This window comes from Homo sapiens, chromosome 17 (assembly GCF_000001405.40).
Source record: "Homo sapiens chromosome 17, GRCh38.p14 Primary Assembly".
NCBI classification, from domain to species: Eukaryota; Metazoa; Chordata; class Mammalia; order Primates; family Hominidae; genus Homo; species Homo sapiens.
Genome location: NC_000017.11, coordinates 27,455,426 through 27,478,544, shown reverse-complemented (window position 1 = coordinate 27,478,544; position 23,119 = coordinate 27,455,426). Strand labels below are relative to the sequence as shown.

The following is a 23,119-nucleotide window of genomic DNA, read 5'->3' as shown; positions in this document are numbered from 1 at the left end:
GCGCTTACTGGGCACAAAGCCCTACTCCACCTACCATATTCATTTAATCCTCACAACATCTCATGACCAATGTGGTGACGTCATGCAAAAAACAATAAATAATCCGCATAACAGCCCCAAACAGTAGGTATGACATTGTCCCCATTCGTATGTCCCCATTCCTCAGATGAGGAAACTGGAACCCAGAAAAGCAAAATAACTTGACCAAGGTAAGAAGGGTCCACAGCACAGGCGCAGTCACACTCAGGCTGTCTGACCCCAGAGGCCACACTCCTAACCCTGACACCATCCCCTTTTATACCGGTTTGTGTTATTTTCCTAGGAATGCTGTGAGGTTAGTTTAGCCCTGATTAAAGCACATACTCCAGAACCCTCGTTCAATTCCTCAGCACTTACTGTGTGCCAAGTACTGGGCTAAGCCCTGGAATTTCTGGGTAAAAAGGTCATGACATAGTCTGTCCTTAAAGAAAGAAGAACTCCTTCCTTTGAAGCTAGAGGGCTTTAGTCTCCCTCAAAGACAACAGGAAGGCCAGGTGTGGTGCCTCACGCCTTGTAATCCCAGCACTTTGGGAGGCCAAGGCCTGCCTTGGCCTCACTTGAGACCAGGAGTTCAAGACCAGCCTGGGCAACATAGTGAGACCTCATCTTTACAAAAAATAAAAGAATTAGCTATGTGTAGTGGCGCATATCTATAGTCCCAGCTACTCAAAAGGCTGAGGCAGGAGGATTGCTTGAGCCTAGGAAATCGAGGCAGCAGTGAGCTGTTATTGCACTACTGCACTCCAGCCTGGGTGACAGAGTGAGACCCTGTCTCAAAAAAAAAAAAAAGAAGAGAACAGGGAACTTCCCCTGAAGCATCTGGCGTAGAAGTGGAGGGGCTATGATGGCATTCTGGGAGGGATGGGCCGGAAGTGGAGCAGGAGGCAGACAGGGGTCTATACATCACCGTTTTCCCTATGTAGACAGATTTTTAACTTGTACCACCCCACAGTCCAGTGAGCTGTGACAAAGAAACTGCAAAGGTATGGGCTTGGTCATCAGCCAGACTACAATTCTAATCTCAGCCTGTCACCACTGGTGTGCCCTCAAGAGTCTAACTCACCTCTCTGGGCTTCAGTTCCCTGTATAATAGGAGGTAAGAACGAAACTCTGGTGTTTCCAGGGCAGCTAGAGGTGTCAGAGGCATGTGAACCAGAGCAACTCCGTCTTAAACAGGAGCTGGGTTAAATAAGGCTGAGAGCTAACAGGCTGCATTCCCAGATGGTTAGGCACTTTAAGTCACAGGATGAGACAGGAGGTCAGCACAAAACACAGGTCATAACGACCTTGCTGATAAAACAGGTTGCAGCAAAGAAGCCAGCTAAAACCCACCAAAACCAAAATGGCCACAAGAGTGACCTCTGGTTGTTCTCACTGCTACACTCCCACCAGCGCCATGACACTTTACATATACCATGGCAATGTCAAGAAGTTACCCTGTATGGTCTGAAAAGGTGAGGCATGAATAATCTACCCTTTATTTAGCATATCACCAAGAAATAACCATAAAAATGGGCAACCAGCAGCCCTCAGGGCTGCTCTGTCTGTGGAGCATCCAGTCTTTTATTCCTTTACATTCCTAATAAACTTGCTTTCACTTTACTCTATGGACTTGCCCTGAATTCTTTCTTGCATGAGATCCAAGAACCCTGTCCTGGGGTCTGGATCGGGACCCCTTTCCTGTCATGGAGGGGACTGGTGGGGTACAGTATTCCCAGTGCTATCTGAGAGCCCAGAACATAGACAGCAGGCCTTACATGTGTGCTGCAGTTACAAATGTCCTCATCGCCACCACCCTCATCCAAACAGCCAGAGGGCTTTTCTCAGAGTGGGGGCAGTGGGACCATCTGTGGCTGTCTAACATTTCAGTCCTTCTGAGTCAACCATGGGCTTCCCAGGGCACATCACGGGCAATGTGGACCCTGTGAGTGTTGGGCACCCAGGAGATGAGCCCACAGCTGCGGTCTCCTTCCTGGGGCAACCTCTCATACCAACGGCACCACAGTCAAACAGGCAGGGGCGCTCCCTGAGAAGATGGGATCACAGCTCACCGGCAGCGCCCCAGCACTGCTCAAGTCCCAGCAGCCAAGACTCAGGGAGCCCTTTTGGTGCCAAGCCAGCTCTACCCCTGAGTTCTCTACCCTCAGGAGGGGGTGGCAACTCTGGAAACTTCCCTGTTTCTCAGCAGAATCTGGGACTGGCTCAACAAGCGCCCTGCAGAGAACCTGGAGGACCAACTCTCCGTTTTATTCCAGAAAGTTTGAATTTTGCACCACTTCATTAGCCTTCAATCCTTGAGCGCTGAGAAGGGGTGGGGGCTCAAGAATCGCTCACTGAGCATGGTCCCCCCGGGGCAGGAGCCGTGCAGTCCAGTCCACTGCTCTACCCAAGCACCTTCTCAGAGCCTGATAGCTAGGAGGTGCTCAAATATTCATTACTTTAATAAATGAAGGAATGCAATTATAGCAATAATAAAGGAATTTTTGCAAAAGAAAAACAGTCCCACCACAAATAACTCATTTCAATTTCACCTCTAGTTTTCCCCATATGCATACATATCATCACATATTTACAGGACTACAAATGCCACATACATGCAATCTTAAATACTGTGTATTTTTCCTCGATGTAACAGTATGAATATGCTCATGTTCTTACCCAGCCTCTGTCACTGACATCTGTGTGTGTGATGACCCACCCATCGCATGCTGTGCCATGGTCTGCCAAACCTCCCCTTACCACTGGACAGCTACCTTATTTTCATTTTTTTCTGTATTATGGATAATGCAAATAGCCTCATACATTCTGTTTTGCTTTTCTATTGCATTCTTGCCTCAGGAGGAACACCCCTGTAAGGATGGGGTGGACGGAAGGGCATCGCTGTCCCCGTGTCATAGATGAAGAGAGTAATACCGGGCAGGTGCCAGCATGATCTCCTGCCGTGGGAGCTCTGTAAAAGCTGCTGGATGAATAAACATGGCTCACCCACCTGACGCCCTCAGTGAGTGGCAGAGCCTCAGCCTGCCCCGGGCCAGCGCTCTGTCACCTGCCCACGCAGTCAGAAAGTGACTTTCTGTAAGTCAGTAGGTTAGTGTGCCAGCCCCAAAACTCCATTTTTTAGTAAGACATAAGTTTCAAAATCACCTGTGGATCCTACAGGATGGAGGCAGAGCCCACATAAACACAGCACCTCTCACCACCTTCTCTTCTCATTACTCTTCCCTCCTTCACACCTGTGCTCAGAGACCCGTGAGTGCAGTGGGTACTGGAAAGCAAGCACCTCCCTAAATGTCATGCCCAGGGCCCCTTGTGGCCTCACCCCTGGCCCCAGGGTTTTCCAACAACCCTGGTTCACTCCCCTTTGGCTTCCACATGAGCTCAGCTTCCAAAGCTCTTTTCCAGCTGTATCCCCATGGAGCCCTTCTCTACCCTTTTGAGGTCTTTACTCAAATATCACCTCCTCTGCAAACCCATCCTGACCCCTCACTTTAAATTATACCACCATCTAGGCACCCCTCCCTGCTTTCATTTTCTCCACAGCACTTTTACCACTTAACAGATAACACATTTTCCTTAGTGTGTGTGTGGTATTTTTAGGGATGGGAATCTTGCTATGTTGCCCAGGCTGGTCTTGAACTCTGGCTCAGGTGATCCTTCTGCCCCAGCCTCCCAAGTAACTGGGATTCCAGGTGATATTTACTTGTCATCTGAATGTCTCCTCCCAACACTGAAGCGTAAGTTCCACAAGGTCTACATTTGTGTCCATTTTGTTCACTGCTATTTTCCCCAGAGCTAAGAATAGTGCCCAGTCCCTAATGGGTGCTAATTAAACACTTGTCGATAAAATAAATAGTAATATTATAATATAAAAATATTCTCATTCTGCACAAGGCATTGTGCTTTTCCATGGCTCATCTTACTTACTATGAAAAACGACCCCATTATAATCCCCATTTCACAGATGAGGAAACTATTGCTCAGAAAGGGTAAGCAACTTGCCCAAAGACACACAGCTAGCCAGAAAGGCAGTGCAGCCTGAATCCAGGCTGTCAACCACCAGAACCTGTGCTCTTACACAGCATGAGGTGCTGCTCATCCTCCCATCCTTACATCCAAAGATAGAAGCCACCCATGGTCCAGCAGAGCTTTATAGTAAGAACAGCAGGTCTGACTTTTGGAACATAAGCATTGCCTGGCTTGCAGCCACAGGGTGACAGGGGCCTGTTTGCTATAACAAGTAGCACTACGGCTTTGACAAGCTGGGTGCTAAGATAACAAATCCTGCCAGACCAGGAAACTGCTTAAACCAAACAGGGCCAGAGAGGAAGTTTGGCCTAAGCTGTTAGATGCTTGAGACAAGGTCTGGTCATTTGAGGCCGCCTAAGTCTTCTTCTAAGAATAGTCAAAAGCCCCCTCTGGTTTAGGGGTCTAGGAGGGAGGGATGCAAGTGAAGGAGTTTCCTCTAGACACATGGCCGATCGCAGCCCACATGGCTGGCTGTACACAGGTATTGTGAGTAAACGAGGTCTTTGGCTTTTGGTTTCTCTTTTTCTTTTTTTAACTACTTCCTAAAACTCTCAAAATTGTCAAAGATGCAGCTGGAAGAGTGGCCTGGGGTTTTGTCTCAAATGTTCACCTCTCCTCATAAGCCACCAGGCCAACCACACAAAAAAAGCTTCCTGTCCCCTAAAAAGACAAGTTTCCATTCGTTGATGGATTCTTCCTTGTTCTGTTCTGTCCCCTGTGCCACGGTGAGTCATGGCCACCACAGGGACTCTCCCCAGGGACTCGTCACCTTCTTTCTCCTAAAATGTACCACCAGTATTTAAAATACCGCTGTGCCTATCACCATCACACCCAAGCACTACCTGCTATGTTGCCTTTGTAGCTAGAACCCTTCCAAGCAGAGGCAAAATTATTTGAGGTGATCAGATAAAGTCCTCTGCCTGCCTGCTGCCCAAACCCCAGCCCTACAGGCTGCTCCTCACAAGGATGCCCCTCTCCCACCTTCCTGCTCAGCCAGAAGCCCCCACCTCTTGCTTTGCAGCCTCCTTTCTGCGAATGGCCACCTGTTAATCCAGATCCCCACGCTCTGTTACTTCATCCTGTCTCCAACTGTGAGGGACTCCCATTCCAATGATGCGAAAAACGAGACTGCCAAATCCATTTCCACCCAGCATTACTTCTTCTAAAATGCTAAGCATCACCAAAGCCTTGTATTATCTCTTTCTGCCCTGAACAAGACCCAAGATCAAGCAAATTTCTAAAGAGGGCAATGAAATGAACACAAATGGAAATTCAGACAATTCAGCTCCACCAGTTACTGTGTGACTTTGGGCCTTATTTCATCACCTACATGGGCTCATAAAGTTATCATTACTGAGAAATTAACTGAGAGAACTGCTGTCAGAATCTTGCTGCCTTAAACCTGGGTACTAGCTGGGCATGGTGGCATACACCTGTGGTCCCAGCTATCTGGGAGGCTGAAGGTGAGCCAGAGAGGTAGACAGAGGCTGCAGTGAGCCATGATGGTGCCATGGAACTCCAGCCTAGGAAACACTGCGAGACCCTGTCTCAAAAAACCTGGGCAGGTCCACTTCACATTAGCCATAACTGTGGGAGGAAGGGATAGGGCCCTGAGTTATTACTGATACATTCCCAGGATTCTGGCCTTCCATTCCATTTTTTTTTTATTTTCATTTTGAGATGGAGTCTCGCTCTGTTGCCTAGGCTAGAGTGCAGTGACATGATCTCAGCTCACTGCAACCTCCGTCTCCCAGGTTCAAGCAATTCTCCTGCCTCAGCCTCCTGAGTAGCTGGGATTACAGGCACCCACCGCCATGCCCGGCTAATTTTTGTACTTTTAGTAGAGACGGGGTTTGACCATGTTGGCCAGGCTGGTCACCTGACCTCAGGTAATCGGCCCACCTCGGCCTCCCAAAGTGCTGGGATTACAGGCATGAGCCACGGGGCCCAGCCCACTTCCCATTTATTTAATAGCAACAAGCTTACATGCAAGGAACCCAAGGTGCTGGTTAACCCTGGTCAAAGGAGGCCCCTAATTCAATGACATCAGAGCCCCCCGGGGCTTATGAGTCATTCAGCCTCCTCCAAACGAAATGGTGCCAACATCTTCCACCAGGCTATTTCCAGGCACTCTCATGAGGTCCACACCTCGCTATGTGAGTACACTCTAGACTCCCAGAAGCATCTGCTCAATCTCATAACCCCTTCTTTGCCCCATCCTACGGGAAGAAACCCATGAGGAGCACAATGTCCCCAAATCTACATTCCCAACCAGAGCCACAAATCAGAGTCCGCAGTCAGGGGAGAAAGGGTCAGGGCAGGCAGCTCAGTAAGAAGGGGGTTTCCCATGGCTGTCTCTTGGTCTTGTTTCCCATAACTGGGAGCCTAGACACTCATACCTAGTATCAGCAGCCCCACATCTGAGCTGGCAACCTCAAGTCTGAGGACCCCTTCCCTGGCAGGGGTCCAGGTGCCCCCAAGCAGGCCGGGACTGCCAGGCTTTACATCAGAGAACTGAGTTTCAGTTACCACGGTGAAGGCTGACAGCACAGAGCACAGTTCCGTGCAAATCAAGACACATTTCCCAAGTCCCTACACACCTCAGTACAGAGATGAGTCAGCTGCGCGGCCTGATGAGCCTTCATTCACACCTCACCAGCACCTTCTATGAGTTTACTCATCCACAAACTCCCCCACTAAGCTGGCTTTCTGGAGCACAATACATCTCTCATTCACTCTTATATTCCAGAACAGTGCCTGGCACGAAACCCGGCCAGGAGGGCGGAGGGGGAAGTAGGAGGACACCTGTTTGCTGAGTTGGTGCATTAATTCTCTCCTGCGGCCCAGCACTGAAAAAACAGCCCCATGCCCCTGCTTACCTCCTTGACCCCAAGGCCAACCATCCTCCCCTGACACTGTGTTCCAGGCACACCAGCCTCCTCCTGGCCCTTGACCACACCAAGCTCGATTCTGCCTCAGGGCTCTTGCACAAGCCAGTCCCTCTGCCGGGAACACTCCTCCAGGCTACAGTGGCCTTCTCATCTTTCAAGACTCAGCTCAAAAGTCACCCTCTCTGGGAAGGCCTTTCCCGATCACCCCATCTAAAGAAGTCACCTCTTCCATACCCCCACCTCTCTCTAACCCACTTCCAGTTTTCTTCTGAGAGCACGTCTGTCTGTTTGGCATGTGTATTATCTTTCTCTTTCCACTGAAGGAAGCCCTCTATTTTCTTCCTTGCTCCTTCCTCAGTGCCTAAAACAGTGCCTAAAACAAACCTGATATTGAGCAGATGCTCAATAAATCGTCACTGGAGTGGGCCCGGCACGGTGGCTCACGCCTTTACAGCACTTTGGGAGGCCAAGGTAGGGAGATCACTTGAGGCCAGGAGTTTGAGACCAGCCTGGCCAACATGGCAAAACCTGTCTTTACTAAAAGTACAATAATTAGCTGGGTGTAGTGTGCGTGCCTGTGCTCCCAGCTACTCAGGAGGCTGAGGCACAAGAATCGCTTGAACCCGGGAGGCAGAGGTTGCAGTGACCCAAGATTGTGCCACTGCACTCCAGCCTGGGGGACAGGGTGAGTCTCTGTCTGAAATTTAAAAAAAAAAAAGTCACTGAATGAATGCACAGAAGAGAGAAATAGCAAATTCAAGATAAGGAATATCTAACAAGGTCAAAAAATGGGGAGAATAAAGGAGAGAAGAAGAAAGGTACAAAGGTCAGAAAGAATTGTAAAAAATATGAGATACTTACCCAGGAGTACAATTTTTAAAACAGCTATCATTCAACAGGAGTTAAATGGAGGGGCTAGGTGTGGTGGCTCACGCCTGTACTCCCAGTACTTTGGGAGGCTGTGGTGGGCAGATCACCTGAGGTCAGGAATTTGAGATCAGCCTGGCCAATATGGTGAAACCCTGTCTCTACTAAAAATACAAAACTTAGGCCTGGCGCAGTGGCTCACACCTGTAATCCCAGCACTTTGGGAGGCCGAGGTGGGTGGATCACGAGGTCAGGGGTTTGAGATCAGCCTGACCAACATGGTGAAACCCTGTCTCTACTAAAAATATAAAAATTAGCTGGGCGTGGTGGCGGGCACGTGTAATCCCAGCTACTCAGGAGGCTGAGGCAGGAGAATTGCTTGAACCCGGGAAGCAGAGGTTGCAGTGAGCCGAGATCGCACCACTGCACTCCAGCCTGGGCCACAGAGCGAGAGTCTGTCTCAAAAAAAAAAAAAAAAAAACACAAACAAAAACAAAACTTAGCTGGGCATGGTGGTGTGCACCTGTAATCCCAGCTACTCAGGAGGGTGAGACAGAAGGATCACTTGAATCTGGAAGGTGCAGGCTGCAGTGAACTGAGATCACACCACTGCACTCTAGTCTGGGCAACAGAGCGATACTCCGCCTCAAAAAAAAAAAAATGGGAGAACAGTTTGGCAAGTCTTAACACACACACACACACACACACACACACACACACACACACACTCCATCTCCATGCTCTTTGATCCAGTAATTCCATTCCTGGGAATTATCCCAAGAAAACAAATTCAGAATAGGAACAAAAATAAAGCGCCTATATAAAGACGATTCCATTCACATTGTTTATAATTGCAGAAATCTAGAAACTACTGAAATGTCCAATAACACGGAAAATGCTTTGCCAAATTACAGCAGATCCACTAGACACACTCTCATGTGGCAACTAAAATGACCAAAAGGAAGATAATAGGGAAACATGGAAAAGTGTTTTGGAGTAATGCTACGTGAAAGGCGGGGGACAGTGGGGGAAACACTGAACTCCTTCTAAGTACCAGGCACTGTCCAGCACTCCTTCTGTATCTTGGTTCTCAAAAGAATCCAAAATTAACCTACTCTTATCCCCTTTTAACTAACAAGAAAACTGAGGTCCAGAGAGCTAAAGAACTTGCCCAAGGTCACAGAGCTGGCAAGGAATGGAGTCAGAATACGAATATGTCATCCTCACCCCAGAGTCCCCGCACATCCTGGCGCCCTCAATGCACGCCTCAATGTCCTACCAAGTGCTTGAGGGGCTCTTTCCCATAGTGACATCACGATTGTGTTGTGGAGGCCAAACTCAGAGACTGAAACAGCCAGCAAAAAGTGACTCGGCACCTGAGAAATGCTTGCAAGAGAATACAGCAAAAGCCAAAATAAAGCACAAACAACCAAAAGAAAACTACCTGTTGGGATCAAAAGACCACGGAGAAAAGAAATGAGAAAGTGGTCAACAAAGCTAGGCTTCAGGAAGGACTGTGCAGAGCCTCGAGAGAAGAGCCGGGAAGGGCAAGGAAGACTTTTACAGGTGCTGGATCCGGGTTCCAGGCTGGAACCGCAGAAATGAGGGTTTGCCCGGGGCTCCCAGAGAATAGCACCTTCCTGTACTCAGCAGCTCTTCTCTCCAGGGCCCACACACAGTGAAGCTTAATCAATGTTAGCTGAAATACACTTATCTCATAATGGGAACAAGCAACAAGGAAAAGGAAGGGAAGAGACACTAGAGGCATGGGCAAGAATGGACTGGAAATCAGGATGTGCACAGTGGGATTCCGCTGGGTCTGGGGGCCCTGCTTCGTTAAAAACTCTCATCTCAGTCTCTGGCAGGACTGCTGTGGGACAGGGAAAGCACCCAGCCGTCTGAGAACAGGTTTCAGGTGCGGCGGGGGACTCAGGTTAGATAGTGAGATGGACACTCTGCAATGTACCTGCTGCCAGAAGCCAGAGCAAGCTTAGGAGAAAATAATCAAAACTGCCTTTTCATAGGAAAACACAGAGATTCCTCCCAGCCTGCTGAGATAGGTACAGCTCAGCCTGGAAGCGGATGGCTGGAGAAGACCGCCCTGGGTCACTCTGCTTCCTAGAGACGAACTGCCCAGGGCCACCATCGCCAAAACAGAGCATAAATACCCTAGATCACTCAAGATTGGCCACAGGCCAGGCACGGTGGCTCACGCCTGTAATCCCAGCACTTTGGGAGGCCAAAGTGGGTAAATTGCTTGAGCTCACAAGCTGGCCTGGCCAACATGGTGAAACCCTGTCTCTACTAAAAATAAGAAAATTAGCCAGGCATGGTGGTGTGTGCCTGTAATCCCAGCTACTTGGGAGGCAGAGGCAGGAGAATTGTTTGAGCCCGGGAGGCAGAGGTTGCAGTGAGCTGAGATCTCATCACTGCACTCCAGCCTGGGCAACACAGCCAGGCTCCATCTCAGAAAAAAAAAAAAATAATTGGCCACAGCTGGTTATTGCTGAAGCTGGGTAATCACTACACAGAGGTGGTCACAACATTCTCTCTACTTTTGTACAAGTTTAAACCTTTCCATGATAAAGTTAAAAAAAAAAAATATGGCCGGGCGCAGTGGCTCACGCCTGTAATCCCAGCACTTTGGGAGGCCGAGGCGGGCGGATCACGAGGTCAGGAGATCGAGACCATCCTGGCTAACACGGTGAAACCCCGTCTCTACTAAAAATACGAAAACGAAAAATTAGCCGGGCATAATGGCAGGCACCTGTAGTCCCAGCTACTCGGGAGGCTGTGGCAGGAGAATGGAATGGAACCCAGGAGGCAGAGCTTGCAGTGAGCCACGATTGCGCCACGGAACTACAGCCTGGGGGACAGAGCGAGACTCCGTCTCAAAAAAAAAAAAAAACAAAACATAAACTCAGACCTAGGCATTTCACCTGATGGAGCACAGGGAACTTGACCTCAAAACATAGCTCTCTGATATAATGAGCATTTTAAACTAAAGGCCCTTAGAGATTAACAGACACTGAAAGAGACATTTCCCCTGTCTATAAAATGACCAGATGGACCCACCACGGACCAAGGATTGTTTTTTCTTCCCCTCACTGTTATCTCATTATCTATTGCAGGAAAAAAGACCAAAAACGCAACCACACCCTAAGAGACCCATTCACAAGATAATGTCTATCTCTTAGGAACATTCAAAGAAATATTTGGGTCCCACTGGGATATTAAGTAATCGCTCTGTGATTCTGTGATACACCAGGGAGAATCAATTTATATGCCATTTCTCTTAGTCATCTATATGTTGTGAGTTAATTTTTCAGTAAACCTTCAGAGGGCAAAAAGTAAGTTTCTCCCTTGCCCGCTACACACCAAGGAATCACTATGGCCTGGCCCAGGGTTTGGGGCTACCCCCCAGAGCCTAGACAAAGGCAACCAGAGTCTTCAAAATTATCCTATGCTAACAGATTTTCCAGCTGGACGGAGAGAGGAGTTTGCAAATCCAAGCTGGGTCATAAAGGCAAGGAATTAAGACTGCCTGGGTTCAAGTCACAGCTCAGTCTCTCCTTAGCTATGTGACTCTGGGAAAGTCACTTAACCCCTCTGTGCCTCAGTTTCTTCATCTGTAAAATGGGGACAGCGAGAAGACCTTCCTCACAAGGGTGTTGTGAAAAGTAAATGCTACATAAAGCTTAACAAGGGGGCCAGGCACAAAGCAAGCTTGCCGTAAAAGTAAATGTCACCCATTATGACACATCCATTTTGTAACAGGTACAGATATTCGTTTTGGAAACCACATGCATCCATTTGACTCAGCGACCGGGGAAAATGAAACGGGGTGGAACCAGCGCTCTTTCTGAAACCTCAGGCAGCAGTGTGGGAGCCTCGACTCCAGCGCACCTAGAGTGGCCCCAGCCGGCCCAGGCCTCCGTTGGCCAAGAGGCCAGAAAGAGCTCCTCCTTTCAAAAAGCCACCACGAGAAACAGGAAGCTGCTTCCTTTCCTTTCCATTCAGAGCCAGCATTTCCTTTTTTATTTTGAAAAGCATTCTTCATCTGTAGCCCAGCCCTCTCCCCCAAACCCCCTGCAGCCCAAGCTCAAATGCACCCACAGCCATCTGCATTTCTCTTGGATTGTTTTCTGCCCATCAGGGGGATCATGAGGTTCCTGGTAGACACTGAGCAGACCATGCCCTTAACACCAACTAAATGCACCCAGGGCCAGGAGGAGGCAGGAAGTGCAAACTCCAGGCAGGCAGGCAGGCAGGCGGGCACACCTCTCTCGGCAAGTTTCCTCTTCTTGTTAGAAGGATTCAGTGATACATGTATTTAAGTGCTAATGTGATGCCCAGGAGACACCCTATTTCCCTTTGTAAAAAAGGCAATTTCTCATGGCTGGATAAGTCTACAGGGATACCAGCCTCTCTTCAACCACCCAATTTTATTTGGAAACTCAAACAGCACCTCAGTTTCATAAAAACCTAAAACTTAAACACAACACTTGGTTGTAAGTGAGCCAACAGTTTCTTGTCTCTTTCTCTGCTCAAGGCTTAAGGCCATGTCTCCCCAACTACGTTCAGTGGAAGAAAAGATCCCCTGGACAAATAAGTTTGAGAACTGTTGTTGCAGTACTTCTCAGAACCTTTAAAACACAAATCCTCATCCGCAGGGATCTTCAGGAGGGAGATGGCTGATGCAGCACAACTTTCTTCACAGGAGCATCTTGCAGAATACAGTGAGATACAGAAAGGCTGCACTGAGCCTTTTTAAGGGCCCAGGCCTTGGTGGGAGTGGGGTAGGAGCTCTCCAGATAGCTCCTAATGAGTAGGAACATTCAGGTGGCTTTTTTTTTTCCTTATTGGCAAAACTGTGTGTGCACCATGAATGAAGCTGGTCTCCCTTATCCATATCAAAACTAAACCCAAATTAATTGGATAAATTGGGACTCAACCCCTCAAGGAGCCATGCGGAAGAAAGCCCCACCACACTTTAAAGTAGCTTACCACATCATATTTGCGGAAAGCAAAACGCTTATGACCAGTATGCTGCTAATACAAATCTATAGATAATGCTGTATGAAAAATTATTTTTCCCAATCATAGCTGGCATAGTCCACATTTTGCATTACACTTTCCCCCCTTTTTTAAAAATTTTAAACACGGGTCTTTATCTCTTCTTTTTTTAAATTTTAATTTAATTATACAAGACAGAGTCTCAGTATGTCGCCCAGGCTGGTCTGGAACTCCTGAGCTCAAGCGATACGTCCGTCTCTGCCTCCCAAAGTGCTGGGATTATAGGCCTAAGACACTGTGCCCGGCCTTAAACACAAATCTTAATTCATTCTTACAATTATCCGGAGATTAGAAAAATGGAAGGGGAAGAAAAATGGCAAGCAGGTAGGCTGACTTCAGCTTCATTATTTGGAAAGACAGTTTGCTCAGTTAAAACACACTACTGCCCACCAAGGCCAAGACAACAGAAAAATACAGACTTACATAAATAGATTTTATATGTGACAGCAGTTTGAATGGAGACTTTTTCAATGCAAATGACAAACAGCTGTGCCTGGGAATAAATGACAACAAATTTTTTTATCTCAACAGCTGTCCTGAGAGCACGTCTCTACATCTCTACCTGCATTCTGGAATCAGGGAGAAAGCCAAAACGGACAAGACACTAGATCAGCCGTGTCCAACCCTTTGACTACAAGGACTTTTCCGCCTATCTGTGGTGGTGGGTATCATGAAAATTATGCACAAACCTTTTTTTTTTTTTTTAAGCTCATCAGCTATTGTTAGCATTAGTGTATTTTATCTGTGGCCCAGGAGCATTCTTCTTCCAATGTGGCCCTGAGAAGCCAAAAGACTGGACACCTGTGCACTAGATTAAAAGGCTACTCCTTCTGGAAGCAATTGTAAAGAATTTTTACATTATCTTGACATGAAAACCAATGGATAGTGGCACAGAATGCAAAATCTGCAAGGATTTTTCTTGCTGGTTTTTTTTTTTTTTGAGTCAAGTTCTTGCTCTGTGGCCCAGGCTGGAGTACACTGGTGAGATCACAGCTCAGTGCAGGCTCAAGTGCTCCTCCAGCCTCAGCCACTGTAGTAGCTGGGACAACAGGTGTGCACAACCACCCCTGGCTAATATTTTATTTTTTGTAGAGACAGGGTCTCACTATGTTGTTCACATTGGTCTCAAACTCCTTGACTCAAGGGATCCAGGATAGGATTACAGGTGTGAGCCACCACACCTGGCCATGCGCATGAACTTTTAAGACAAACACAAGGCCCCATAAAAGTTAAGGATTTCCCACCTAATTTCCAGGGGATCTTTTGGTGCAAGGATGAGAAGCCCTTAAAAGTAAACAGACAACTCCAAAGATTCAAGACAGTTCATTCGGGCTGAGCCAGCCCACTGAGCAGACTGACCTTCAAAAAAGGTCCACCCGTGACATACCCCAGATGGCGCTCCAAGAATCTCTCCAGTCCTCAGGGCCCCTAAGGCACTGGGACAGAGCTAGGAAAGCAAACCCATTTGCTTCTTCCTGCAGGAAACCCCTTGAGGTCAACACCCCACAATCAGAGGAGGATGGAGTGGCTCACCCTCAGTCAACAGGCCAGACTCAAGGTGGTATAATGTCTTAATCAAGGGTGTGGGCCTCCAGGTCTGACTCCCAACTCAGTGCTCCTTTAATAACCACCCTTTGTTAATTCTGCTTAACAGGGGTTCCTGGCAAGTCAGTTCTCCCTCAGGCCTTCAGTTTCCTCACCTGCAAGATGAGAGGGCTGGACCACATGGAAATTCCAAGACCCTTTGTAGCCCTAGGAACCCACAACTCTACTAAATCATCCCCAAAGCCAGGCACCCCAAATAGCACTGTGATCAGTATTTGTAGTTAGGGATGCAACCAAGAATGCAGTTAAAGTGACTTTCATGAGCCTCAAGTGATCAAGACCTCACCATATGATTATGTACTACCAAAGCTGATCAGTCTCTGGACAGGGAGACCTGAAATCCAGCCCCTCCCTCCGCTATCTTGGAGCAAGGAAAAGGCCTTCTTCTAATTGGTCAGCCCAGGGGGCCCCCCTTTGCTGCAGGTAACCACAAAAACTAGAAGCCACAATGCCTGACACATAGCCCAGAACCTCAGACACAAGCAACCACAAAACTAGAAGCCATAGTTCCTGACACTTATCCCAGAATCTCAGCCAGAGGACCATGTCCAGCCTCTTTTTTTTTTTTTTTTTCTCTGTCATCCAGGCTGGAGTGCAATGATGCAATCTCAGGTCACTGCAACCTCCACCTCAGCCTCCTGAGTAGCTAGAACTACAGGAGCGTGCCACCATGCATGGCTAATTTTCTATTTCTTGTAGAGACGGGGTTTACCATGTTGCCCAGGCTGGTTTCGAACTCCTAGACTCAAGCTATCCACCAGCCTCAGCCTCTCAAGGTGCTGGGATTACAGGCATGAGCCACCGCACCCAGGCCCAGCCTCCTTTTAAACTCTTGGCCGTCAGTGTGATTACAGATGCAGTGGCAAATGGATAAATGTATGAAGGCTGCCATTCCTGCTTAGGAGAGGGGGAGTTATGATGCCATAAAGATATTAAAGACGAGGACAGATATTAAATGTATTCATATACTTTGACCCAGCAAATCTCACTTGTAGGAAGATACTCGTTGCAGCACCATTTATAAAAGCAAGACTTGGAAACAGCCTGAATGGCCCACACAGGGAAACCGGTTAGATGAATTTGTGGTATGACCACACAATGCAGCCACTAATAGTGCTGATGCATATGTATATGTGCTGATACAGACAGAAGACATTTACAAGGCAATGCACATGGTATGTGCCACAAATATACACATGTACATTTATATGCAAATGCAGGAAGAATATACAACAAAATGTGCACTGGAATTAACTCTGAGAGGTGGCATTATGGGTGATTTTCACTGTTGTACATCTAGTACTTTCTTTTTTATAGTGAACATATATCATTATGTATTTTGTAAATATTTTAATTAAAAGTAGAAAGTTAAAGAATACACTGTTTATCAGAGGAACTGTTCAGAAAGAATAAGACAGGTAGCCATTTAAAAAATTATGAGTAAACTGATCTCTAGGCAGCTTCTCCTTTCTCAGAATGAGACAAGCGTAGAGCGGGCTGCATCATGGTGCTGAGAGTCCTGTCTTTGAGGATGTGCTAGCCTGGACATTAGGGAAGCAGACCCATGCCCGAACCCTGAGGCTGCACAGCCTGGGTGGCCACCAGGAAGCCCAAACATCTAGAGTTGAGCCACGGAATGCCCTCGGCCCAGCCCTTTTTATTATTGGCCATTTCCTTGGTCTCAGCAACCATGGCCCTGCACAGAATCTCCCCGCCACAGCAACAGCTGTGGAGTTCTGAACATAAGTTCTCAAGACCAGTCAACCTGGGTTCAACCACCTGCTAAGACAGTCTCTCCATCCCTCTGAGCTGCAATTCCCTCATCTGCAACATCAGGATAAGGCCTCATAGCATCATTGTGAATGTTAAGGTGCAACATATGCCGAGAGCCTAGTGGAGTGCTCAACATAGAACAGGTGATCAAGCACGTTCTTCATCTGTGTCTGCCCTCTCTACTCCAAGATCATTCCCCTAACCCCAAAGGCACCTATGCAGCTTTCCCTTTGAATTAAACATAAAAAAGAGATCTCAACCAGCCTCTTCTGAAAGGATGGCCTTTTAAAAAGGCATAGCTTAGAGAGACTTGGCCACAGGCTTTGCTGCTTCTCCCCGGCATTGCAGACACTGCCACCGTGGGCCAGCGTCTCCGCATGGTCCATCTCCAGACACACCCAGCGGGCAGGAGTAGAATACCTGCGGCGCACTTTCCTGGATTTTGAGGCAGCCCAGACCACTCCAAGAAGAGGAAACAACCCTGACGTGGAAGAAGGCATTCCCATAGCTGCAGGCAGCAAACCACACCTCCAGATCTGATAAGACCTCTCTCCAGCACCACCCAGCCCTCCCCAGGCTCACAGCCACTGCGGGTCTCCCTCCAGGCTGCCTCTAAGAAACATTTGGGAGGTAGGTTTCACCAGGGAAAAAGTTACCCGGGTGAAAGTGGACACAAAAAAGGGCCAGAGCCCCAGCTCTGTATCTCTTCAGAGACGGCTGGAGCCACTTGGCCAGAGGGTTACAACTGTGGCCACAGAGCAGAAGCAGAGAAACGCCACACTTTGAGACAGTGGCTGGGTGGGAAAGCAAAACCAGGTTTCAGTCTCAGTTCTGCCAGGGACCTGTGACTTGGGAGAAGTCCCCAAGACTCTGGGAATATTTCCCAGAAAACCAGGAGGTGGCTCACACTTGTAATCCCAGCACTTTGGGAGGCCAAGGTGGGTAGATCACTTGAGGCCAGGAGTTCGAGACCAGCCTGGCCAACACGGCAAAACCCTATCTCTACTAAAAACACGAAAATTAGCTGGACATAGTGGGGCATGCCTGTAATCCCAGCTACTCAGAAGCTAAGGCAGGAGAATTGCTTGAACCTGGGAGGCTGAGATTGCAGTGATCCGAGATCATGCCACTGTACTCCAGCCTGGGCGACAGAGTGGGACTCTGACTAAAAGAAAAACAAAAACAAAAACAAAAAACAAAACAAAACAAAAAAACCAGGAGGTTGGATGGGCCAAGGGTTCAGTGGGGTTCCCAATGCAGGGTCCTGCAAGCTGTGCTACTAAAGTCATTACTGTGCCCTGCCTGGCTCCTTCACTAGACTAGAACTGTCCCTAGACCCCAAAGACTGGGAGAACAGCCCACCTACTTCAGAGCCCTTGCTAGGTGGCTGCCAGCCAGGTAAGCACATCAACAGTAACTAAAGGTCTGTCCAGGGAACGTGCCTCAACACACCCTAAGGACCCAATCTGCAGGAATGCCACCCCTCCCCTCTCCCAGCAGTTCCATCATCAGATGCTCCTGGGAGGCATAGGGAGAGCTCAGGTCCCCCACACGGTGGGACTCTGACCTCTGCCACGGCAGAGCTGTGTGAGGGCCAGGCCTCTCTGACCTTCCAGATGGCAGGAGGGCCTCCCCTCTGACCCCCTGCGGCTCCAGGGCAACTGCTCAGGAAAGCAGCCCAAGGGCAGAGACTGTACCTACCACAGTTCCCAACATCGCCTCCCAGCACAGCCTGACTCTGCACCTACCACAGTTGCCAACATCACCTCCCCCAGCAAAGCCTGATGGTCAAAGTCCTTCAGCCCCTTTCTCCACGCCAGCTTGCTTAGGAGGGATTTTTCTCCACAAGAACACAAGGTGGGGAGACTCAGCATGGCAGAGCCTGTCTCTGGAAAGTACTAGTAGGCTGGCAGGAAAGGGCAAGTCACAATGTCCCTGGAACATAAATCTCCATGAGGCAACATGTGTCTGCTTCTACACACCCTTGTCTCCCCAGCGCTGGGCAGATTCAAAGGAATGAAGGTAATTATTACTGGCATAGGTTGCAGGCCCAGCTATTAGGCAGGCCAAGTGTCCCTCTGTGAGTACACTGGGGCATAAGAACATTCCCGTTTGCCTCGGTGGAGTTTTCAGACCCCTAGGAGGGTCTAGCGGAGACAGAACACCAGCTCCTGCCAGGATGAAGTAGCCTCACAACTTCTGTTTACAGATTAATACCCTGGTTTCAAATTGTGCCTCCCTCCCTTTATATTTAGAGAGGGAAAATGTGTATGATGAAAACTGCTGATCTCCAGGAACGTGTGTGAGTTTGAGAAGAGTCAGGCACGCTGCTAGGCACACAGGCAGCAAACGTTAAGTCTCAGCTCCTTCTACCCTTTTCCATCCAAACTGGACCACCACACAGAGAAAAGCTATCCCCGGACAACCAGACACGCTGACCCACTACACCCCATCACAACCCAATTTCAGGCAGCAGCAGCCCATCCCTGGTCAGGGACCTCCACGGACATTTCACGTGCTGCTTCTCCCACTGAGTGTTTATTTAATGAAGGCCAGAGTGAGCTGGGGCTCCTCAGATTCTAGATAAGTCCGATGCAGTTGCACAGGCCAAGCCCTCCAGGTCAGATCCTTCTTCAAAAGCCAGGAATCCAGTGTTGCAAGCACAGTCTCTGGGGCCACGGCCTGGTGTGTGGGGAGCCCACAGAACAGGAAAGAACGCTGGAGTGGACACTGCCACTTGCCTGCCTGGCCCCAACACATGCTGCTGGCGGTGGACGGTCCCACCCAGCTTGCTGAGATTGTTTCCTGGCTTGTGTCACCCACCTGTATGAAATGAGAGGCAGCTGCAGAAGTACCTTTCCCTAAAATCCAGATTTACTGAACCCATAAAGTAGGGGGTTAAGTTTCCCTAGCAAGGGTCCAGTAGGGGTTAAGTTTCCCTAGTGGTGGCCTGTGCCATAAATGCTACTGGACCCTCACTAGGGGCAGCTGCCAGGCAGACTCTTTTCGTAGTATCAGCACGGACTGACAGACAAAATGCTGCAGGTGTGAGCAGTCTCGTTCCTATTTTACAGACAGGAGAGCTTGAGATTCAGAAGTCATGGGACTTGCCTAAGGTCACACAGACAGAACCCAGGCCCAGTATGAAAGCCATGGGGCTTCCTATTCACCACGCTGCTCCTATGGCAAAGATTCTTCTAATAAACTTAACCCCTATGTTATGGGTTCAGTAAATCTGGATTTTAGAACCATTCTTAAAGAGGGTTATTCTTAAACCAGGGTAGTATAAAAACAATCACAAACATTTGATTTCACCCAACCAAGTCTCCTTCTCTAACCTAGAGAATTTCGAGCTTCCAGAGCCCTCAGAGATCCACTCCAGCCTCCTTGTTTTGCAGGTGAGGAGGCTGAGGCCTCCGGGATGAAGTGACTCATCTAAACTAGCTGGTGGCAGCCCCATGGAACTCACTCCAGGGGTCTAAATTCCCATCCCCCAAAACAACCCAGGCCCTGCCTTTTCAGGAAGTGGAGTGAACCCGAATCCACATCACGGTGGGAAGAACAGGGAGCTGCAGATCCCCTGTGGGCCTTTGGATGGGTTCTCTGCTGCCAGGGATGATCGTCTAAACAAACACTCAGGAGGGAAGCCACTGAATAAACCAGCTCCAACACTTAAATAGCTGGATGCTCTGGGGTGTCATGAACGCCACACTGCCATCAAAATGAGGGACTCCGGAAGTTAGGGTAGGACAAAAGGCCATTCCAGAGAATGCACAGCAAGTGGTTCTCCTATATACACACTCTGGAAGCCAGGAGCACTTCAGAGCAACGTGGGGACAATCCCACAGAGGCCAACACAGAGAGCATTCTCCAAGCCCAGCAACACCGAAGTCCAACCACGCACACTCTGCCAGACAGCGACCCCTCCTCCCGGAACTGAGCCTCACAGGCCCCCTATTGTTGTCAGCTTAAAAACTGAACTTTGCTGAGCAAACACACTCAGCTGTGTTCAAAAAATCAGTTTCTCTCAATACTTGGAAAACTGCAGCATGCATGCAGAAAGGCCAGTTGTAGGGGGTTTTGTTTGTTTTTTAAGCAAAGCCTTGGTCAGTACAGCTTTAGCCAACTGTAATAAAAAATAATAATACCCAGCACTGACTGTATTCTTCCAATGTCCTGTGGTTTTATAGCTTTTAAGAAAATAAAACTGAGGGAGAGTCACCCCCGAGCATTTGGAATCAAACAAGGATTCGGCTTTGTGGCATGCCTGGAGGAAGGATTGGTCTTGTAATAATTACCGCGATCACAGAGGGCCTTATGACAGCTGGCAGAGGCAATTAGCAATAAGGGGCGGGGGGAGGGTTTGGGGGAGGAGAAATTGAGGATCTAATAAAACAAAACATCCCCAGACCTGCAGGAGGCCAGATGTGGCAGGGCAAGATGGTGAGAGGTTCCTTCTTCAAGACGGGGCAGCTATTAACTGGTCTGACGTTTCACCGCCCCGTCCCTGGCCAAAATCACATTCAGAATCCACTAGTTGCCCTCATTTGTGTATGGACAGGGTGCCCCAACAACCCTCGGGCTGGTTTTTCCAAATCCTTCAGATACTTCCCCAGCTATAATTTGAGAGAGGAAGGCCCGCATATCTTATTTCTTCTTTACACTCCAGACTGTCTCCATCAGAACCCTTTAAACAGTTTCATCTTCCCACCAAAGGCTTGCTTCCCAGCATAATCCTTCCTAAGCCTAAATCCAATCTTTGGGGGGAAGCAGGGGGAGTCAGCGGGTAATTATTAATACATTTTAAGCAGCGAGCCTCCGTGGCAACGTGAAAGGAAAGCACCAAACGCCTGAATAACAAAAATGCAGTTTCAGCAACACTTTTTGAAAAGGCGGCAGACAAGACCTGAGAGGAGAGGAAAGGAAGGGACAGGACGGCGTCTGGGGCGTGAGGGGAACAGGGGACGGCAGGCCTGCGATCACGCTTCAGGGGAACCTCCTCCGTCACCCTGGCCCACGGGTGCTCGGCTCAGTCACACGGGGAAAAGTCCAGCTTGTGACTCGGTGGGACAACGAGTCCTGCGGCCCCGCAAACTGGAAATGGGGTGGGGGCGGAGAAGGGGGGAAAGGGGATGTCCGCGCGCAGCCCACCCCGCACGGGCCCCTCGAGCCTCCATCCCAGTTCCCACGACGCACCCGCCCCACAAATCCTGCCCAAGATGAGGGCTGGTCCCGGGTCCTCCGGCTGCCGCATCAGCGAGTGCAGGAGGGAGGGGAAGCCTCCAAGGGGGGCGACGCGGGCTCAAGGATGCAACTCGGCCAGGAGTACTGGGGCCCGGAGGGAGGTGTCCGGGCCCGCTCCTCGAGCCCAGCCTGGTCCCCGACCCACTTACCTCCAGGGTCCGTATCTCCTGCTGGGTGAGGTCGTTGGACACAGCGCACTTGGTGCGCAGCCCGCGCAGGCTGCCGATGGAGATGTCGATGAGCTTCTGGAGCTGCCCGCACTGCTGCAGCGCCCGGCTGGCCGCGGCCCCTGCGCCTCCCTCCGCGGCCGCCGCATCCCCCCCGCCACCGCCCTCCTTCTTCTCTCCCATCGCCGCCGCGCGCAGCGCTGCTCTATCCATGCCTCGGCATCGGGGCCGCGGCGGCCGAGGCTGGGAGCCCGGGGCGCGGGCGCCTCGGCAAGGAACCCCCGAGCCAGGAGAGCTGGACCAGGAGCGCCCCTCGGCGCTGCCCGAGCCGGGACGCCGGTAGAGCCGGCCGCTGAGTCTGCCGCTTCCACCCTCCCAGCCGCGGCAGCAAAGCGAAAGCCGCGGCGACCCGACGGCTGCGGCTCCCGGAGCCTTTAAGCGGCGGCGGGGGCTGGGTCAGGGCGGCCGGGCATGCTGGGACTTGTAGTCCACGCCGCGCACCTGCCGCCGGCCTCCGCCCTCGGGGCCCCGGACCGCGCCCGCGCCGCCCTCCCTGCCCTCCTCTCCCCTCCCCTCCCGGCGGCCGCGGCGAGGCAGGCGGTGAGGGCCGGCCCCAACCGGGAGCCCCGGGTGGAGCTGCTCCGCGCCAGCTCCTCCCCCAGGCGCCGAGAGTCGGGGGAGCAGCGTCTCCCCGTCCGCCTCCGTCCCCCACCCGGCCTAGGAGCTTCCCGCGACCCCCGGATGGGGCGGCGCCCCCTGGACGCCCGGCGGGTGTGCGTCCCGCAGTTCCTCAGCTGCAGCCCAGCCCTGGAAGATGGGGACCAGGGAGGTTCCAGGATTTGTATGTGGGTTTAGGGGCTGCCATCTAGTGGGAAGGGGCTTACAGCACTTCTGTAGCTGGCTCACAAAGCGCTCTACTCTGGACTGCCTGCGCCAAAACGATTGCTCAGGCTTGGAGAAAGACGAAGAGCTTTCTTCTGAACCACATTTACCTGCCAAAATAAGTGTCCCATTCCCCCGCCATTCCCAGCCCACCAAGCCAGCCCAGACACGGGGGACAGCACACTGAATTGTCGGTGGCTTCGGAGCAAGTGGCCAGGATTCAAATTCTGACTCCACCACGGTCTAGGGTGAGACTTTGGGCACGTTCGATTTCCAGTGAATGCCCGACTCTCCTCATCAAATAACTCTTTAATAGGGTTCCTATGAAGAATCAGTTAATACATGTACAGCACCTAGATTGATTACTGGCACATGTGGTCGCTGGATAAATGTTAGCAATTCTTACTATCTAACCTCAGATCTGAATGTGGCCCTGGACCCAGGTAGTGGCCATGGAGCAGTACAGTACTGCCAAGGACTGGTAGTCCTTTGTCCTCTGTGCATTTCTGTGCCTCCTAACCCAGCAATCAAGCCTTGCCCATCTGTTCA

At 50.0% G+C, this 23,119-nt stretch overlaps 1 protein-coding gene across 15 annotated transcripts in view, besides 13 other annotated features; it reads right to left on the bottom strand.

The window, feature by feature from the left end:
• KSR1 (kinase suppressor of ras 1) overlaps window positions 1–22,097 on the bottom strand; it is a 169,988-nt gene extending 147,891 nt beyond the window's left edge. For 14 of the 15 annotated variants that reach the window (XR_934587.4, XR_007065523.1, XM_047436989.1 and 11 more), the window contains exon 1: window positions 21,671–22,097. Coding sequence is in view for 11 of the 15 variants with exons in the window: in XM_047436985.1 (XP_047292941.1) it covers window positions 21,671–21,901 (231 nt within the window). In the remaining 4 variants the exon portion in view is untranslated. Of the gene's footprint in view, window positions 1–6,464; window positions 6,582–21,670 lie in introns of those variants that run through there. The other variant, NM_014238.2, reaches the window with a different exon arrangement.
• Window positions 1,188–1,482: an enhancer, noted in NCBI's record as "tiled region #12304; HepG2 Activating non-DNase unmatched - State 23:Low, and K562 Activating DNase matched - State 5:Enh". NCBI's record gives its function as "activates a minimal TATA promoter and a strong SV40 promoter by Sharpr-MPRA in HepG2 and K562 cells {active_cell/tissue: HepG2 | K562}" and the evidence as "EXISTENCE:reporter gene assay evidence [ECO:0000049][PMID:27701403]".
• Window positions 2,631–3,144: an enhancer, noted in NCBI's record as "H3K27ac-H3K4me1 hESC enhancer chr17:25802427-25802940 (GRCh37/hg19 assembly coordinates)". NCBI's record gives its function as "activates a minimal SCP1, AML or CMV promoter by ChIP-STARR-seq in naive H9 embryonic stem cells {active_cell/tissue: H9 hESC(naive)}" and the evidence as "EXISTENCE:reporter gene assay evidence [ECO:0000049][PMID:30033119]".
• Window positions 4,558–4,887: an enhancer, noted in NCBI's record as "active region_11903". NCBI's record gives its function as "activates an Ori minimal core promoter by ATAC-STARR-seq in GM12878 lymphoblastoid cells {active_cell/tissue: GM12878}" and the evidence as "EXISTENCE:reporter gene assay evidence [ECO:0000049][PMID:35858748]".
• Window positions 4,908–4,957: an enhancer, noted in NCBI's record as "active region_11902". NCBI's record gives its function as "activates an Ori minimal core promoter by ATAC-STARR-seq in GM12878 lymphoblastoid cells {active_cell/tissue: GM12878}" and the evidence as "EXISTENCE:reporter gene assay evidence [ECO:0000049][PMID:35858748]".
• Window positions 5,179–5,943: an enhancer, noted in NCBI's record as "H3K27ac-H3K4me1 hESC enhancer chr17:25799628-25800392 (GRCh37/hg19 assembly coordinates)". NCBI's record gives its function as "activates a minimal SCP1, AML or CMV promoter by ChIP-STARR-seq in primed H9 embryonic stem cells {active_cell/tissue: H9 hESC(primed)}" and the evidence as "EXISTENCE:reporter gene assay evidence [ECO:0000049][PMID:30033119]".
• Window positions 5,944–6,708: an enhancer, noted in NCBI's record as "H3K27ac-H3K4me1 hESC enhancer chr17:25798863-25799627 (GRCh37/hg19 assembly coordinates)". NCBI's record gives its function as "activates a minimal SCP1, AML or CMV promoter by ChIP-STARR-seq in primed H9 embryonic stem cells {active_cell/tissue: H9 hESC(primed)}" and the evidence as "EXISTENCE:reporter gene assay evidence [ECO:0000049][PMID:30033119]".
• Window positions 11,533–11,972: an enhancer, noted in NCBI's record as "active region_11901". NCBI's record gives its function as "activates an Ori minimal core promoter by ATAC-STARR-seq in GM12878 lymphoblastoid cells {active_cell/tissue: GM12878}" and the evidence as "EXISTENCE:reporter gene assay evidence [ECO:0000049][PMID:35858748]".
• Window positions 14,808–15,102: a silencer, noted in NCBI's record as "tiled region #12448; HepG2 Repressive non-DNase unmatched - State 7:EnhWF, and K562 Repressive DNase matched - State 5:Enh". NCBI's record gives its function as "represses a minimal TATA promoter and a strong SV40 promoter by Sharpr-MPRA in HepG2 and K562 cells {active_cell/tissue: HepG2 | K562}" and the evidence as "EXISTENCE:reporter gene assay evidence [ECO:0000049][PMID:27701403]".
• Window positions 16,307–17,010: an enhancer, noted in NCBI's record as "H3K27ac-H3K4me1 hESC enhancer chr17:25788561-25789264 (GRCh37/hg19 assembly coordinates)". NCBI's record gives its function as "activates a minimal SCP1, AML or CMV promoter by ChIP-STARR-seq in naive H9 embryonic stem cells {active_cell/tissue: H9 hESC(naive)}" and the evidence as "EXISTENCE:reporter gene assay evidence [ECO:0000049][PMID:30033119]".
• Window positions 17,714–18,417: an enhancer, noted in NCBI's record as "H3K27ac-H3K4me1 hESC enhancer chr17:25787154-25787857 (GRCh37/hg19 assembly coordinates)". NCBI's record gives its function as "activates a minimal SCP1, AML or CMV promoter by ChIP-STARR-seq in primed H9 embryonic stem cells {active_cell/tissue: H9 hESC(primed)}" and the evidence as "EXISTENCE:reporter gene assay evidence [ECO:0000049][PMID:30033119]".
• Window positions 21,238–21,287: a silencer, noted in NCBI's record as "silent region_8328". NCBI's record gives its function as "represses an Ori minimal core promoter by ATAC-STARR-seq in GM12878 lymphoblastoid cells {active_cell/tissue: GM12878}" and the evidence as "EXISTENCE:reporter gene assay evidence [ECO:0000049][PMID:35858748]".
• Window positions 21,808–22,567: a silencer, noted in NCBI's record as "silent region_8327". NCBI's record gives its function as "represses an Ori minimal core promoter by ATAC-STARR-seq in GM12878 lymphoblastoid cells {active_cell/tissue: GM12878}" and the evidence as "EXISTENCE:reporter gene assay evidence [ECO:0000049][PMID:35858748]".
• Window positions 21,931–22,432: an enhancer, noted in NCBI's record as "H3K27ac hESC enhancer chr17:25783139-25783640 (GRCh37/hg19 assembly coordinates)". NCBI's record gives its function as "activates a minimal SCP1, AML or CMV promoter by ChIP-STARR-seq in primed H9 embryonic stem cells {active_cell/tissue: H9 hESC(primed)}" and the evidence as "EXISTENCE:reporter gene assay evidence [ECO:0000049][PMID:30033119]".